Below are 19161 nucleotides of genomic sequence, written 5' to 3' on the forward strand. Positions count from 1 at the left end.
ATGAAGTGGAAGTGGGAAGATGTGAATTTTATGAGAAAAGCAATTTTTGGAATTGGAGCAGAGATAGAAGTTTTACAGATTGAGTAAAATATTGGAAAGACTTGTTTTACAAAATAGTCATTGTGCTATAAAAATACGTTGTAAATCATTTATTTAAAAATCATGATTTCTTCATTTTCCCATAGAAAGAAATAGTGTTTTAGAAGTTAGTGTCCTAGGCAAGCTCACATGTATGAAATACTACACATTTGCATTGAAAAATTGTAATACATATCCACACAAATATGTATATGAAAAATAAAATAGAGATTTAAAATTATTTTAAGTTGATGTTTGAAAAGATGCTGAGTTAGATAAGAAAAAGGAGATAAGTGGAAACCTATTTTTATAACAGTTTTATTGAGATTATGTATCATAAAATTTACCCTTTTCAATTGTATAATTGAGTGATTTTTGGCATATTCACAAGGTTGTATAACCATCATTACTATCTAGTTGAAAGACATTGTCATCACCCCAAAAAAGAAACTCCATACCCATTAACAGTCAATCCTCGTTTCCACCTTCCCTTCCAGCTCCCGAAAACCACTTATATTTCTGTATCTATGGATTTTCCTACTCTGGATATTTCATATAAATGGAATCATACAATACGTGGTCTTTTGTGGCTGACTCCTTTCACTTAGCATAATCTTTTCAAGATTCATCAATATTTTAGCATGTTTCATTACTTCATTTCCTTTTTTTCTTTTTTTTTTTTTTTTTTTTTTTTTTTGGAGACAGAGTCTGGCTCTGTCTCCCAGGCTGTAGTGCAGTGGCGCAGTCTCGGCTCACTGCAAGCTCCGCCTCCCGAGTTCATGCCATTCTCCTGCCTCAGCCTCTCCCAGTAGCTGGGACTACAGGCACCCACCACCATGCCCGGCTAATTTTTTTGTATTTTTAGTAGAGACGGGGTTTCACCGTGGTCTCGATCTCCTGACCTCTTGATCCGCCCGCCTCGGCCTCCCAAAGAGCTGGGATTACAAGCGTGAGCCACCGCCCGTGCCCGGCCCTTTGTTTTTTTTGCAGCCGAATAATAATCCATTGTATGGATATACCACATTTTGCTTATGTATCATTTGATGGACATTTCTGTTATTTCCATTTTTTGGCTATTGCAAATAGTGCTACCATGAACATTCATGTACAAATTTTTGTGTGGACATATGTTTTCAGTTCTCCTGGAGTGGAATTGTTGGATTATAAGGTAGCCCATGTTTCACTTTATGAGGAGTCACCAAGCTGTTTTCCAAAGTGGCTGCACCATTTTACAATCCCACCAGCAATGTATGAGAGTTCTGTTTCCTCTCATCTTCACCAACACTTGTTACACCAACACTTGTTATTTTCTATCGTTTTTATTTTAACCACCCTCATGGGTGTAAAGTGGTTGATACCTCATTGTGGTTTTGATTTGCATTTCCCTAGTGGCCAGTGATGTTAAGCATGTTTTCATATGCTTATTGGCCATTTGTATATCTTTGGAAAAATGTCTGTTCAGGTCTTTTATTCAGTTTTTAATGGGGTTATTTGTCTTCTTATTGTTGTAAGGGTTCTTTATGTAGAAAACTATATTAAAAGTTTGAGCAGTGGGTTGAAGATTTTTTTCTTAAATCTTGTGTGTGTGTGTATACTTGGTGAGCATTTCCAAACATTTTAGAGTTTGATAACACTGGTTCTCTAATTTTATTTCCAAACTTACAGCTTTGTATTTTTGTGATATAGGTGTATTCATATATTAAATCATTTTTCCTAGGCTTGTTAACCAAAAATTATTTTCAAATCATAAATTCAGAAGTATAAGATGGAATGATGTTGAGGGTGAGCTTAATATCTATACTCCACATTTTTCAGCTGAGAAAAGATGACAGCAATCAAGCATGCATTACAAAGAGACATTTTTACACCAAATGATGAACGCCTGCTGAGCATTGTGAATGTCTGCAAAGCAGGAAAAAAGAAAAAGAACTGTTTTTTATGTGCCACAGGTGGGTATTTAGTAAGAAAGAGTACTTGTTTTGTATCCTTTTATTATTTAGAAGATATTTCCTCTTTGTTTTGAATATCCTCATTGTCTCTGTAATTGGAAAAATTGTTGGGTCAACACATTCCTAGTTAACACTTGGCTTTGACAGGCTGTTAATTGTTGTCAATCTGGTGGCAGTGAAATAGTATCTCATTGTGGTTTTAAATTATATTTCCCTATAATGATGAGATTGAGCATCTTCTCATGAATTTCTTAGTCATTTCATTCTGTTGTGTATGAAATTTACCTGTTTAAGCCTTTTACTCATTTTTCTGTTGTGTTGCTTGTCCTTTTACTGATTTGTACAAGTTCTTTCTATAATCTGGTTATCAACCTTTTGTTGGTTGTATGCATCCCAGTTAGTGGCTTGTCTTTTCACTTTTTATGATGCCTGTTAATGAAATTTATAATTTAAACTAAATGAAATTAATTAATCCTTTATGGCTTTCCCTTTTGGTGTCTTAAAAGATCCTTCCCTGTATCTTTTGTGCAGTCATAAAAATATTTTCCTAAATTCAAAAGTTTTATAATTTTGCCTTTTACAGTTTAGTCTTAGTTCACCTGTGTTGACATCTGTCATGGTGTGTGTGAGCATTTCTGGTTGTCATCTTATATGTTATTTTTATTTTGTTTTTGTTCTTTATTCCACCTAAATTTTAGAAACAACTTGTCGAGTTTCAGACTTTGTTGGGATTTTGATTGGAATTGTTTTGAACCTATAGTTCAATTTGGAGAGAACTTGCATTTTTATTGTATTGAATCTTTGTGTCCATGAACATGGTACAGTTCTCTATTTATCTAGGTGTTTTTTAACTTTATAAGTTTCATCATTTTCTCTAAAGGTTTGTCATGTATATTCTTGGATTTACTCCTGAGTATTGGTTTATTCTTAGATTTTATTTGATAGTCGTGAAAGCGCTTATTAACATTAATACATTTTAAAATCATATATTGTTAGAATTCTACAATGAATTGTTGGTGTTTTATATGGATGTCTATCAATCTTGCCAAACTTTCTTATTAATTCTAATTATATGTAGACTTTTTGAAAGTAGTGATATTTTTCTTCCTTCCTTTATAGTTTTTATATCTTTTATTTTTGTTGGTTTAGTTTCCTAGTTAGGACTATCAATACAGTCTCCATCTCAAGGAGAATGACTTCATTTTCAAGCATGGTATTTGGTATAGGGTTTTTATAGCTATACTTTACAGTGTTAAGTAAGTTCCCTTCTATTCCTGGTTTCTTACACTTTTTTAAAAAATCATGAATGGGAGTTGAATTTTATCAACTGCTTTTTCATATCATTGATATCATAAAATTTTCTTCCTTGTTAGTGTAGTATATAATTGTACTTGGTTTTTGAAATGATAAATTGACTTTTTAGAATGACCTCACTCAATCGTAATGTATTTGTATTAGGCCATTCTTGCATTGCTATAAAGAAATTCTTAGGCCAGGAGCAGTGGCTCATGCCTGTAATTCCAGCACTTAGGGAAGCTGAGGTGGGCAGATCGCTGGAGCCCAGGAGTTTAATTAAGACCAGCCTGGGCAACATAGTAAGAACTTTATATATAAATGTATTGTTGCTCTTTGAAATGGTATTTTGCTCTTTCAAGCCTCACAGACTTTACTTATGTCAATCATTCTTTAGATTTTTACCTCATACTTTTCTTTAAAACTGGTCTGAATTTATTATTAATATATCATTCCTTTATTTTTCAAGGAATCTCCTCTGATCTTCTAGTCTGACTTAGATGCTTCTATTAGGATTCTGTGCTTTCCTCGGTCATAGCACTTGTTGCAAAGTATTACACCTCTTTTAGTATCAGCTACTAGGCACCTGAAAGCTATACTTGCAATGAGTGAATGAAGAATGAGTGAAAGGGGTAATATTTCTAATAAAAGTGTGCGTTTTACTCAACAGTGACAACTGAACGCCCTGTGCAGGTTAAGGTGGTCAAAGTCAAGAAATCCGATAAGGGAGATTTCTACAAAAGGCAGATTGCATGGGCCCTTCGAGATCTTGCTGTGGTAGATGCCAAAGATGCTATCAAAGTAGGTTTTTCTCAGTTCTTTGACCTGTGTTCAGAAAGCATCTTTCATTTTATAACATGGTATTACATATTCTAAAATGATCTAAAAACAAATTAATATATATGTTTGTTTTCTTATTTTTTTGCTTTTTTTAAGCTATAATTATGTTTGTGCACAAGCTACATAAACTAGAGAAAAATTACTTTGACTGTATACATTTCTGTGTTTAGATTAAGTATAATTTGTATAAAATCTATACATAGTATGGATTTTAAAGTGGTGTGTCATGAGTTTTTTTTGCTTGTTTGTTTGTTTGTTTAATCAAAATCATATAACCAAAGTGATCCTTCCTTAGTCTTCATGAGTAAACATAGAATCACCAGCTGGGGCAGCCAGACTGGCCTTTTGAGGCCACCATGGCTTTGATGTTTGTGGATCAAAAAAAAAAAAAAAGAAATGATAGTGGGTTACATACCTTATTTTAAGGAATGTAGATAATAAGATCTATGAAGATATAAACTTACACGTTATAGATAAACCACACTCAAACTCCAAGAAAGGTGATTAATGTGATAATCACATTAAAGGACCACCTATGTTCCTGACAGTTCAAAGCTTTCACAGCAATACCCTTTTTTCAAAGCAATCAAGTTGGCCTCCTTTGATTAAATTAGGTGCTTCCTCCCCCTGGCCCTCTCTCACTCTGCCCTTCATCTTTCTCTGCAGCCCTAACACACCTCCATAGCACAAGAGAATACTTTGTACCACAACTACTTGTATGTCGATGGGATGAACATAATAGCAAGGCTTATACTAGTGAAACTACAGGTGCTCTTTGACTCTACAAATCTCATACATTTACTAAAAAGGCACAAAGTAAAAACAACAAAAAACAAAAAAACTGCCTGTGTAAAGCAATCTGTTAAAATAAAATTCTGATTTTACCCTTACTTTGGTACAAACCTCCAAGGATCAAAAATCTGGACAAAATGACAGGTAGTTGAGTTGGGTGCAAAAAAAATGAAGTAAGAACAATTTGAGGAGAGCCCTCTATATCTGTATAATTCAGATTTCTTCCAAATGTAAATCATGCCTTTTCTTTAAGTATTCTAGGCTTACTGGCCCTTTGTTTTATCCCTAAGGAGCACCCAATGCTTAGAAAAATGTGAAATGTAGAAACAGGATTTGACAGAAATTTAGAAAGCTAGAGATTGGAAAGAAAATTATAATGGGATGTTTAAAAATAATTTAGGCCAGGCGTGGTGGCTCACGCCTGTAATCCTAACACTTTGGGAGGCCGAGGCTGGTGGATTGCCTGAGCTCAGGAGTTCAAGACCAGCCTGGGTAACACAGTGAAACCCTGTCTCTACTAAAATACAAAAAATTAGCTGGGCGTGGCGGCACACGCCTGTAGTCCCAGCTTCTTGGGAGGCTGAGGCAAGAGAATTGCTTGAACCTGAGAGGCAGAGGTTGCAGTGAGCCGAGATTGCGCCACTGCACTCCAGCCTGGGCAACAGAGTGAGACTCTGTCTCCACAAAAAAAAACAAAAAAAAACTTCTGTAAGTAATTTTTATTACCATGGGGAGGGATCAAGAGTGGAAACTTTTCTGGTTGTTTTCTGTTAAGACAAAACACTTTAAGGGTTTTTAAAACTGCACCTTTATTAAAAAACATTTTTCCCTTCAGTAGTTTTGCACTTCGTAACCCTGTTGACTTGCATAATTCAGTAACATTGCTGAATGCTTATTTGAATGCATTCTCACAGCTGATGCCTCTTGCAGACTTGCTTAATGGATTTTTTTTTTTTGCATTTTATGTAGGCACCTTGGTGTGTGTATGCTATATATGGATATAAAACATAAAATTTTTATACATAACTTAACATTAGCCATTTAGTATCACACATTGATTTGTGAGTGTTGCCACTGGAGCACTCAGCTTCTTTTATGGTATTATGGGAAATATTCCCAGGGAAGAGATTATTTCCCATCAAGTTTCATATTGGTTGCCAATACTCTTGTTGTGTTTTTTTGTAAGTAATAATGCAATTACCTTTTCATTGTATATGCAGGTTTTAAATTTTTGACGCTTCAATTCTGTTTATTAAGCTATAAATTGAACTAATTAGTAGTTCCATGCTGCTGTAATATGATTGTTGTACCAAAGGTCAAGTCCTGATTCCTGAGATACTCCAGTTCTTCACAGTGAAAGTCTGATATAACTTCCCTTACTTTAATGTATTTACATTTCCCCCAAATAACACTTTAAATGAATCAAATATATTATTATTCTTTTACCCTGTAGAACATTAAGAATATTTGAGCCTATTTTTTAATTCCTTGGATGTGAAGTATACATCCATAAGTTTGTTTGTTTGTTTGTCTGCTTGTTTGTTTTGAGACAGGGTCTCACTCTGTCACCCAGGCTGGAGTGCGGTGGCACAATCTTGGCTCACTGCAGCCTCCACCTTCCGGGCTCAAGCCATCCTCCCACCTTAGCCTCCCGAGTAGCTGGGACTACACGTACATGCCACTACACCCGGCTAATTTTTGTGTTTTTTGTAGAGAAGTGTTTTGCCATGTTGCCCAGGCCAGTCTCAAATTCCTGGGTTCAAGCAATCTACCCACCTCGGCCTCCCAAAGTGCTAGGATTACAGGCGTGAGCTACCAAGCCCAGCCTGTTTTTTTATATAATAGTCAAGTAGTTCTATTCATTCAAGGGAGAAATATTAGCCTGATGTGGATTATTGCTATAATGTGGCTTAAGAGACTTGAAGAAACTATAGTGTAATTCTCTCAGATTGGTTGAGCTTCTTTATCACATGAAAGAACGTTAGGCCAGGAACAGGGCTCATGCCTGTAATTCCAGCACTTTGGGAGGCCGAAGCAGGAGGATCAACTGGATAACATGGGGAGATCTTGTCTCTACAAGAACATTTTAAAAATTAGGCATGCTGGTATGTGTCCGTGTCCCCAGCTACTCAGGAGGCTGAGGTTGGGAGGATTGCCTGAGCCCAGGAGGTGGAGGCTGCAGTGAACCATGATTGCACCACTGCATTGTAGCCTTGGCAACAAAGTGAGACCCTGTCTCAAAAAAATAAAGAACTTTGAGACCTAGCAGCACTTTTAGCTTTCAAGATATCTTTAATCATTCCTTATTTTCAAAATAGAAAATAATTAGGCGCAATCTCTGCTTTTCACCTCACTTGTTCTTAGAAAGTACACCAGGATATACATTGCATTTTTCTCAAGTTTTATACTTAGAAGATATAGTCCTTATTAGGGAGTTAGTGTCCAATTACAGTTTCAAATAGTAGTACATTATTAAAGAAAATGTATAACTAAAACTCTATAGGCAATTTAAAAAGAAAAATTAGGTCCATGTCAAAGCTAGAGACCATTGTCATCTTACTGATGAGGAAGCTAAGCCACAAAGCCATTAATGCATCCTATACTTCTACTCATAGACCTAAAGGGCATAGGAAGAAAATGACCACAACAGTATGTTGTTTTTTCATCCAGCTCCTTTGGGGTGGTAAACTTTTTGCTATAAATTGAATTCTCCAAACTCTTCCTTTCCAGTTGCTTAGCTGATTTTTAATACTCTTCATTTTCCAAAAACAGCGTAAATGCCTATGCAGATTTTACATTAACAATGTAAAAGGATGTGATCAAAAATAATATCTTTTGTATATTTTTATTTTAGGAAAATCCTGAATTTGATTTACACTTTGAAAAAATATATAAATGGGTTGCCAGCAGCACTGCTGAAAAGAATGCATTTATTTCATGCATTTGGAAATTGAATCAGCGATATCTCCGGAAGAAAATTGATTTTGTCAATGTTAGCTCACAGCTTTTGGAAGGTAAAGTTAAATAAAAATGTATATGTAAAATCAATTATATCTTTAAGTGAATATATAATTTGACATCATTCAAATTAATTAGAATACTGAATTATCTTATCGTAAAAGAACTTTAAAATAATTTTTCTTATTGCAGAAATTATGCTTGTTTATTGTAGAATATTAATACATTATGATAAATAAATAAAAACCACTTATTCTTCAGCAATAACTACTGTTAGCACTTTGTTAGATATTCGTCTAGTCTTTTTCCTATGCATAAACACCTTTTTAAGATAAAGAAATTTACATTATGTTTTCTAACATACTTTTTCATATAATGTATCATGAACATTTTTCATGTTGTTGAATACTTACCCCAACATTATTTTCAGTAGCACCATAGTATTCCATTATATGGATATACCATGTTTATTTAACTAATCATTTATTTTTTAATTTTCCAATCTTTGCTTCTTTTAAACAGCTCTGGGATAAATACCCTTGTAGCAGTATTTTTGTACAGAGGGTAGATGTAGTGGTTAAGAACATAGCTCTGAAGTCAGACTTCTTGGGTTCAAATCCTGGCTTTGCCACTAACTAGCTATATGACTTTGCATTGATACTTACTCTCTATGTTTCAGTTTCCCTTATCTCAGAACTAGAGATAATAATAGTATCTACCTCATAGGGTTGTTATGAGGATTAAATTACTTAATATATGAACATAGTAAGAACAGTGCCAGGTACATAGTAAGTGCTCAGTAAATATTAGCTATTATTATGTTACCAGTATAAAATCCTTAGACATGAAGATTATTAGAATATTTTTGATCAGTATATCTTCAGGAATGTTACTATGCATCATTTTGTGTTACAAGACAAAAACTCTACCATTAATTAGTGAAAATATGAGATTTTCTCTACTTTTAAAATTTCTTTCCTAAAGATACAAACATTGTAAGATAGCACTTAGTAATCAGTGAGCCTGCTGCTGATTTTAGGCTTGATGCTTGGCACTGGCAGAAACAAGTCACATATGTCAGCCACCAGTAGTGCTGGTCTTATGTAGGAATCCCCAGGGTTGCCATCTCACCAACACTAGTCCCCAACATCTTGGTAATTGAGTGTGTAGAGGGAATGACCTTCAAGAAATTTATGGTAACTTTTCATGCCTTGAATCGTGGTTTAATTTGCTTCGAATGGCTTTTATTTTTTTTAACATTTCAGGGTTGAACATTCTGATGAGTCAGTGATTCAGTGATTCACAAGCTTGCTGTTCTGTCTTCAAATATTATGCATTTCCAGATGTTATTTATTGTGTAAGGTGATTTTAAACCAGTATATTTCAGGACAGTCATATAGAAAAATACATACCCTACCTGGATCTGCCTCATTAAGAAATACTACCAAAATCAGTGAGAAGAGTATTACTGTTTTTGAAAATGAAGTGTCTAACTTAAAAAAAAAAAGGCATTCAATTTTTCAGGCCATAAAACAAGAGTATAGACACGTTCATGTGTATAAACATTAACCCTAACTGAGATCGATTTTAAGAATACTGAGAAGATCCTTAAGGATCTCATTTTGAAAATCACTTGCTATATACGTCAGTAACTCTTGCTTTGGTTTAGTGGAGTTCAGGGAATAGCTTCATTAATGTCTACAAACTTGTTTTATGGACCTTGAAATTACAGCCTTTAATTCCCATTAAAAAAAAATGTCTCTAAGTTTTGAGTGATGTTAGAAAACAAATAAAAAATTATTACCACCCCAGTTTAAGAGCTCAATAATTAAGTAAGACTATTTTGATTATAAATGGTAGCAGTGGCAACTTGGTAGTTTTTATTGTTGACAATTGAATACGTAAGTTAAATAATGGGGCTCCTCAGCAGAATAAGGTTTGTAAAAGAGGACTTTTCAGCAGTTGAAGTAGATTGAAGTTTTTATTTGGCCTTTTTTTTCATTCTTTTACTTGCAACCAGCTTTTTAAAAAAGAATCTTTGACTTGAATCCTTAAATGCTGGCTTGAACTGTTATTTTGTGTAATTTTTTACTTGCCTCAATCTTGTCCTTTCTAACCATGTTTTGTGACTAATCCTCTGTGAGGGAGTGTCTGGGTAAAGCTTTTGGGCCTTAAGTAACATAACTAGGCTACATGCATGAGTCACAACTGACCTAAATATAATCCCCAGGAAATGATTAGTTTGCCAGGTTTCTCCTCTAAGGGTTAGTTAGTGCTGTTTCTTAAAAGACTAAGAGAAATTAGAAAGATAAATATATTTGTAGTCACTATCAGAAAGTGAATAAGAAAAATGAACACGGCAAATTTAGCTTCTTATGGATCTTTCCACTTGGTAGTTGATTTGGCTGTCTTTTGAACTTTAACATGAAGTTCAAATGAGATATGGGTAGTATTTTAAAAATTTAAGCCTGTTTACTTTTCTACCCAGCTAATATTCTTTGCTTACTTTCCTCTGCTTTTTTCATACTTTTTACTCTCCAGAACTGCCTAAAGTTACAGAAGGTGCGTAACACCTTTTCTTCTTCTATTCCATATGTTTTTATTAGTTGCCTTTGTTATATACCGTTGGTTGTATGTTTTATGAAATGATGTACTGGGACAAATTTATTTTAAAAATCTACATAGTAATAAAATTAATGATAGTATTTATTATTGGCTTTCAAGGACATATCATTAGAAAATACTTCTGAAGCAGTTAATTATAATCATGTAAAATATTTGTTTAAGTCTACTTGTGTAAGGACCTGTACAGAATGATTTGGGCAGTCCCTGCCCCCTAGTGGCTAATAAGCTGTCACACATGACAGTTGAACTTTTTCGCAGTGAATTAAATGGACTCGTTGAAAGGACAAGGAGATCGGTAATATCTCTCTAAAGAACTTATATACTAAAATCTGTAATTGCCTGTACCAAAAGTTTTAGTCTTCTTTTTGTTCTGGGACAAATGAACGTATTTCAGGTCATGCTGAATGTAAATATTCATTTTCCTATAAAATAATGAATACTAAAAGCATCCAGAGTTTGTGGTTTAAATCATGCCCCATTAAGTCTGTGAAATTGCTAACTTTATTTAGAGTGATAAAACAACATCTTAGGAGTTAAAAATGATTTCTTTCATTTTACCTCCTAACCTCAAGCTTTATATACAGTGCTCACATGCTAGTGTATTTCCTCAAAAAAAAAAAAAAAATGAACTGAAACATCTAGAAAGCATTTCAGGTTTGACCTCTTGGTCTTTTGTTATAAAGCATGAAGCCTGTTTAACTTTTTATAATTTCAAACAGCCATGTTGTTGTTGCTCTTACTTAGAGTTATTGAGAAAGCTGTAACTTATCTTTAGAAATGTTATCAATGCATGTGAAATTTTTTTAAGCAAAGAAATGGATAATTCAGTTAATATTCTAGTGACCAAAATAAATTATGGATTATAGATGCATTTTTCATTTTAATTAAAAAGTATTTGGCAAAAATATACATACTGAAGATGAAAGTAACAAAAGTAACAAAAGAAAAATTTCACCTGGGAAAAAAAGGAAAGCAAATTGTTTTTGTGTGTACTGAATTCATAGTCATTGTTTTGTTAGAGCAACAGCCACATCAGGTACGAAAAAATGTTTAGGTTTGTTCCCACCTGTTTTTGTATTTTGTTTTTACATTTTAGCTTAATTGTATTTTGGGAAACTGTGGTGAAAGCCTGTTTTAACATTTGTAAGTTAGTGCATTAGACTGCATGCTTTTTATTTATTTTTTAGAACTTTATTTCATTAACATATTAAATTATTTATAAAAATAAAGTTTGATTTTTTCATATCATTTGAATCATTCTATCCTCTTTTTCAGCTGCTAAATGTGACCTGTGCTTATAACTATACCTACCTATATGTATTATGTTATAGTCTTTTCTACTTTTTTGACTATTTTACTTTGAATTTTTACCTCTTTAAGAATCTGTTCCAAGTGGAGAAAATCAGAGTGTGACAGGAGGTGATGAAGAAGTAGTAGATGAATACCAAGAGTTAAATGCAAGAGAAGAACAGGATATCGAAATAATGATGGAAGGCTGTGAATATGCAATCTCGAATGCGGAAGCCTTTGCAGAAAAATTGTCCAGAGAGCTGCAGGTGCTAGATGGGGTAAGACTTTCCTGAATTCTATGAATAAGTGATGTATAGTGGATTGAGAAGGCTAATGATGTTCATATTATACTACCTCAGCACTTAAGCCTTTATAGTGTGTTATTGCCATCTTTATCTATAAGCACATTACCAGCTGCCATCAGTCTTTTACTGTTCTTGTTCAAAAGATGAACTATTCCTGTTAAGCCAATGAAGACAGTTGGCTGAGATTCTGGATTTGGGGAGGTTCTTGATATGAAGTGACTGGAGTAAAAACTAGGCCAGAGAACATCTTGGGAGTTGATTCGCTCAGCCTCTGAAACATGTCTGAATAGTTCAGTGCCAAAGAATAGCATTTGTGTGTATGTGTGTGGTTTGAAAAAAATAAAAATAGGGATGAAGTATAAAGAGAGAAATGTGGCTGAAATATGTGAATCATTTACCAAAGAAGAGTGGAGTGAGTGTGGTGAAAACAGGAGAGCCAGAGAAAAAGATCTGTGACTTCTTTGCTAAAATGTTTTAGAATAGACCTTTTTGTTTTGTGTGCAGTTTTTGAGTGTAATTCAAATGCACAGCACCTGCTGGGGCAGTGGCTTACACCTGTAATCTCAACACTTTCGGAGACTGAGGCGAGCAGATCACCTGAGGTCAGGAATTCGAGACGAGCCTGGCCAACATGGCAAAACCACATCTCTACTAAAAAAAAAAAAATTAGCCAGACATGGTGGCATGCTCCTGTGGTCCCAGCTACTTGGGAGGCTGAGGCACAAGAATCGCTTGAACCTGGAAGACAGAGGTTGCCGTGAACTGAGATCGTGCCACTGCACTCCAGCTTGGGTGACAGAGTGACACTCTGTCTCAAAACAAAACAGAACAAAACAAAAAAATCAAACACACCGCATCTCTTATGCTAGAGTAATCTAAAATCATTTGGGTTTGTTCTGGTTTTAAGAAAAGGTAAGCATTTAAGAAATCCCTCAGAGGATAAGGAACATTTTAAAGACTTAAATTTTAGTGTTGTATACATGAAAGGTACAGAAGTTATGGGGTCTGACTCAGGCCCAGAGAGATTATATGAATAGTCCAGGCTTACAAGTTTACAGAGTTCACTGAAAGCAAAGCCTAGAAATGATTTTAAGATGTTAAGGAAGAAATCCTGGGCAGATTCAAACCCCAGCTCTGTTACTTAAGAGATGTCAGTGGCTTCTGAACCCTTCTGACTCTTAAAGTCGTATTGCACTTACATTTTATTTACTGTGGATAGTATGTAAATAACGTGTGAAACCACAGCGTCAGCTGTACAATGATATCCTTTAAATTTCTGGTCCAGGTTTTTCATCGTACCATGTTACTTGCCTTCTTAATATGGCTTAGTGATTTATATTTTTTGTTCTAATTAATATGGTATATATGTTCCAAGTCAGCATATTGCTTTGCAGTTTAATTTTGGATTTGGCAGTTTCCTTATTTCAGGGAATTCAGAATCAATAGTCAGAATCATTTAGAAAATAGTGATAAGGGGATGGTGGTTTGTTACTGCTTTGCCTGGGGAAGAAAAAAAAAACAGTTGAAAGAGAAAAGAAAAAAGATGATAGAAGGAGCTATCGGCCGTATGCTCTTCTACATCCTGTTACTAGTTCCCATCATACTACAGTTATAAATTAGTTTCATATATCCTTCAGAGTCTGGTATACCACTGCTGCTTTCTCAACTAAGATATCACATAGGTGATTATGCTTTTATTTAGGGTTTCACATAGGTGTTAAGAAAATTTCTAGCTGGTAGAATTGGAGGAAATGTTAGAGATAACATGGCCTAATGCCTCCTAAATGTATAGAAATGAGAATGTGCCATTACCAGTGATACTTTCTGGCACCTTACTTGTGCATTCTGGAACCTTACTTGTGCAGTCTGTGGAAATATAAAATCCTAAGGCATGGTCCCTAACATTGATTTAGAGGCAAGTGTACCTGCATGAAATACTGTGTAAAACATGGAAGAACATAAAGTGATAAACTGAAGTAGATGTGTAGGTATATATCAATTTTTGTTATGCTACTTTCAAGGAAATTTAGCAACATTTCACCTTTATTCTTTTACACATCTAAATAACAAGTATGTTTTTTGTTTGTTTGTTTGTTTGTTTGTTTGTTTTGGTCTTTAACTTTGTAGGCTAACATCCAGTCAATCATGGCATCTGAAAAACAAGTCAACATCCTGATGAAATTGCTAGATGAGGCTCTAAAGGAGGTAGATCAGATTGAATTGAAACTGAGCAGTTATGAGGAAATGCTCCAAAGTGTAAAAGAACAAATGGATCAGATCTCTGAAAGCAACCACCTAATTCATCTTAGTAACACTAATAATGTAAAACTCCTATCTGAGATAGAGTTCCTTGTGGTAAGTATGATCATAAATTACCAACAAAAAAAAACTAGTGATGATATATAAAACCCATTTGTAAACATTTTTTAATTTCCTTGTGAGAACAGGATTTAAAATAATTCCAAAGACCTAATGATAGGACTGAATAGCATCTTGCCTGTAAATTTCCCAAAATTACACATGCAAATGGTGTGTTTGCATATATTCTAGAACCACATGGACTTGGCCAAAGGTCATATAAAGGCCCTTCAGGAAGGAGATCTTGCTTCTTCCAGAGGCATTGAGGCCTGCACCAATGCTGCTGATGCCCTTCTGCAGTGCATGAATGTAGCTCTTCGACCAGGTATGTTCATTAGAAATGACAAAAATGTGACCAAGAATGTGAGACTAAGCCTGTAACTTGTTATAAAGGTTTTGACAAGAAATACATGAGACAAGTGGTTTAAGGGTTACATTATTAGCTATTCAAGTTTCACTGATTTCCCAACTTATTTCTATTGATACTAGGAACTTTTTTACTTCAGTTCCTCCTTCTAATTGTCCTCAATGACTATAGTCAACACCATGATCTTTATTTAGTACTATCCACAGAACCCAGCAGAAAGTAGGTGCTTTGGTTAGACGAGAGCAATTATTTCAAAACTTGAGTGTCCGTCAGAATCCCTAGAGGTCTTGTTAAAAACATAGATTGCCTGGCCCCAGTCCCAGATTCAGCAGATCTGGGCTGAGATTTTAGAATCCACATTTCTAACAGTTCCCAGGCGATGGTGAGGCAAGACCACACTTTGAGAACTACTGTGAAATCCCATTTTTCTCCTGCTTAACTTTTATCATGTAAATGAATACACCCATAAAACTTTTGGGTTCTTCAAAACGTTAGATACGTTTAATGTTCCATTAAACATCAAGGAAATCTTTTTACCCATTAAACTGGTCACAAAATGTCGTTCTGTGTCAGGCCATGACTTGCTTCTGGCAGTCAAACAGCAACAGCAGCGATTCAGTGATTTGCGAGAGCTTTTTGCCCGGAGACTGGCCAGTCACCTCAACAATGTTTTTGTTCAACAGGTAATTTTATTTTATTATTAAAACGAGCATGTTCCTATAGCTTATTTATGTATTAACCTTACATTTCCACAAAAATGTTAATATGTTTAATTGGGGTTGCAGTCAATTCCTTCACATATTTGATTTTAAGATTTTGAAATAGGAGCCTCTTTGCTCATAGATGTACTTTGGGCCTCAGCTGCCTCTTTTGGTAGACAGTCTAGTTCCTTTCAGCTGATGCTCTCTGATTCTAGAAATCAAATAACTATGCATATGAATTGCATATACTACTTAGATATTTTTATTTATAAAGTAAGTCCAAACTTGTTAGATATTTACTATTGGACCTGTTTTATTTTTCAGTATTTTGAGGTGAGACTCAGGACTTGATTCAGTGTTTTAAATGTTTTGTAAGTTCTATGTACTTAGTACATAGTATAATTGTTAAGAAAATGACTAGCTCAACTGCAAATTTCAGTTGATCTAATCTTCATATAAATGCTTTACCTATATTTTTATATGGAAAAGGATGTTATAATTAAGAGTGTGGTAATAATATTGTTATTAATAATATTAAGAGTACCTTTGAGGGATTTGAATAAAAGCCATTTTAATATCTAATACAATAAATTAGGTTTCTTATTTTTTCATCTCTTTTAAAAGTCCCTTTTATTTTATTAGAGTTATAGAATGAAAAAAAATTGGGGGAATATCTCGTTCATCAAGAAATACTGCCTGAAAACAATGGATTTTTACTTTATTTTCACTTTGCAATATTCTAAAACAATTGTATTTACTATATTTTATTTCCAATTAGTTTACTCAGGCCCTCCTTCAACTCTATAACAGGTCCTACTTTCTTTCGGTTCCTGTGAGTACATCAAATTTGGCTCAAGCTTCTCTGATTCTGTTTTTTTTTTTCTATAAAGTTTGCTAAACTTAACAGCAGCCGAATCTTTACAGATTATAACTTACTGATTTAAGCTACCTGTTAACCACATTCGTAGCAGTTTTTAAATGTCCCATAGTAGAGACTATTTTGGCCAAAAAAGCATTTAATCTCATTCTGCTTGCTTTTCTTTCTGTCATTTTTTCACTCCATTTAGTAATAAATAGTAATATTACTCCTTCATTTAGTAATAGTAGTAATATTAATCCTTCATTTATTTAGTATTGCCAGGTGATTGAGGTACATACCAGACATTAACTTGGGATAAATGAGAGACCAATCCTGTCCTCTAGTAGTTCACAGTCTAGGGAAGCGAGACAAACAAATAATATACTCAAGAGGGATAAATGTTATGACAGCGAGACTGTGGGAGTGTAAAGGAAGACCACCTAACTAAAAGCACGGTAGGGGGGAATCAGAGAGATTCCCTTAACATTCCACTTGACTGAAAAGTGTCGAGAAAAAAGTAAGCTTAAATGTCACATAGGAAATACTAATTCATGTTTTTGTTAGGTACTTACTTCAATAACATCTATTTCTATACAATTCCTTAGTTTTTAAAAATGACACTGTTGACAATTATGTTATCCACATTTGTTAGATAGTATTGAAAATACCAGCCAGTAAACAATAGTCTTTTCTGTACCCTTAACTGTTTGTTGTAACATGCAGTTATTTATGATTTTGCTTCTTGCCTTGTAAACTAATGGCCTCGTTTAAAATGAATGCTTCCCATTTCTGAAAAGCTGATATGTGTTATTACATGTGAGTGATGCATGTTAAAAATCAGAACGCTGCGACAACCTGGGGTGTGCCAAAAACGGTGGAAGAAGATATCCCACACATAAGAAAGATTTTCTTAGTGTTGCATTCAGTGCATCAGGTCACCTAGCAAAATTGTTGAGAAACATGGGTATTTCTATTCCTGGTAGGGAGACAAGCTGGGAAAATTGATTAAAATAATATGGTACACCTCTTTGGCAATCACAGAATTTTCATTGTATGCTTATTATGTACTCACTGTCTACCATATATAAGAATAAGCAATAGTTCCTACCCTCAAGATGCTTGTAAGAAGGAATTAAAACTAATGTACTTACTCTTTGTAAGGAGTTAAGACTAATGTACATTAGCAATGTATGTAATAAATTGCTAATTGTAGAACTGTGGACTGTAAGTGCTAAAAAGGTTTAATCAAAAGTGAGTTTATTGAGAATTTAAGGAGTGAGATATGGAAGGAATTGCAGATAAGGTAGGACTTGAACGAGTCCATGCAATACAGTTTATAGCAAATGTATAGTTACAACATTTACAAATATTGTACTGAAGAATCCAGTGAAAATAATCTATTCACAATATAACAGTAATTTCAAAGCATTGATTCTCAGTCTTTTTAAAATTCACAAATTAGTAAAATTAAAAGAAATAAAATTCGGAGACTGACCAAATCACCAATTTTTTTATTTTACCAAATAAAGACCTTTAAAAAGAAATACTATTATCCACTTTCATTATCTTTTCATTTTAAAAATGACATTTTGGCACTAAAAGAATAAGAATTTCCTTTCCGATTTTAAAAATTAATACATTTACCCTTATGAAGGACTCACTTCTTTCATTGTACTTTTTCTTATTGCTATAGGCCAGGAAAAACATCTTGCATTTGGGAATGACTGATCCAGAGCATGCTATCTGTAATGCAACTTTCCTATTAATACTTCTGTGTTATCTATACTTAAGTGAAACTTGAAGTGTATTTTAATATAATAATCACTGTAATATAATATGAGAGTAATGTTACATAAAGAGTAGTTAGCTTCTTTTAGATCTTTCAGATCTTACACACTCAACTTCCCCTGAAATTATAGGCTCTTGCCCATAATTTTTACATTTACTAGGGATTTCTGTATCTAGAAAGATCAAGAATGAGAATCTGGTCAGTTTACACTAATTAGGATTATGATATTGAAAACAGTCAAATTAAGGCTAATGAAATTGAGGAAATATTTGCATAAAGAATATGTCCTTTAAAAAATTGTTTTGGTTGTTTTTTGAAAGATTTATTTTGATAACTACTCTCTGCCTTTTGTTTCCCCCTTTGGTTCTACAGAGACCTCATGATTCTATCTACTTTTGCCTTTAGCAACATGATGAGACTGATTATGTACATAACTTAGAGAAAATGAAAATAAACTGAAATGCACTGAACTAAAAGTACAACCAGGAAAAAACTGAAGTTGTGGAACTTTTTACCATATGCTTAAGTTTAGAAATTTTTCTCTCAACATACATATACAGAAACAAGCTATAATAAAATAAAACCTGTATTGCAGACCACCAGCATTCAATTTCTTTTACAAAAATTGTTTCCTTAAGCATATTTGTAAACACGGATTGATGATCTCTGGTTAAAAGCTTAGAAAGACTTGTGATTAAGATCTATTTTTGTGAGGTTTGTTGGAACTTTGCTCAGATTTTTTTTTTAAGAAAAGAATAAGTAAGTATGCCATAACAGAAAGAAGGAGTTCCAAATCTTGAAAATTTATTCAAATTTTGACCCCAATGTATCATTTCTTTAAAAAAGTCACTATAGCAAAGTGCTTAAGAGTGCAGACACTAGAGCCAAACTTCCTGGGTTCAAAATCCTGACTCTCCTACCTCCTAGCTGGGTTACCTTGAACAAGTTAATTGACAT

The 19161-nt window shown here is 34.1% G+C and overlaps 1 protein-coding gene across 10 annotated transcripts in view, besides 1 other annotated feature; it reads left to right on the plus strand.

Moving 5' to 3' along the window:
• EXOC1 (exocyst complex component 1) overlaps positions 1–19161 on the plus strand; it is a 51439-nt gene that overhangs the window by 2773 nt on the left and 29505 nt on the right. For 5 of the 10 annotated variants that reach the window (XM_005265747.4, XM_017008405.3, XM_005265748.2 and 2 more), the window contains exons 2-9: positions 1894–2027; positions 3991–4121; positions 7807–7966; positions 11916–12103; positions 14258–14485; positions 14681–14813; positions 15429–15538; positions 16335–16388. In XM_005265747.4, coding sequence (XP_005265804.1) covers positions 1904–2027; positions 3991–4121; positions 7807–7966; positions 11916–12103; positions 14258–14485; positions 14681–14813; positions 15429–15538; positions 16335–16388 — 1128 coding nt within the window. In that variant the 5' untranslated portion in view covers positions 1894–1903. Of the gene's footprint in view, positions 1–1893; positions 2028–3990; positions 4122–7806; positions 7967–8382; positions 10473–11915; positions 12104–14257; positions 14486–14680; positions 14814–15428; positions 15539–16334; positions 16389–19161 lie in introns of those variants that run through there. The other 5 variants (NM_001024924.2, XM_005265750.4, NM_018261.4 and 2 more) reach the window with 2 other exon arrangements.
• Positions 3641–4840: an enhancer, noted in NCBI's record as "CDK7 strongly-dependent group 2 enhancer chr4:56726227-56727426 (GRCh37/hg19 assembly coordinates)". NCBI's record gives its function as "activates an origin of replication core promoter dependent on BRD2, BRD4, P300/CBP, MED14 and CDK7 cofactors, with strong dependence on CDK7, by STARR-seq in HCT116 cells {active_cell/tissue: HCT116}" and the evidence as "EXISTENCE:reporter gene assay evidence [ECO:0000049][PMID:35650434]".

Source organism: Homo sapiens, chromosome 4 (genome assembly GCF_000001405.40).
Source record: "Homo sapiens chromosome 4, GRCh38.p14 Primary Assembly".
Classification (NCBI taxonomy): domain Eukaryota; kingdom Metazoa; phylum Chordata; class Mammalia; order Primates; family Hominidae; genus Homo; species Homo sapiens.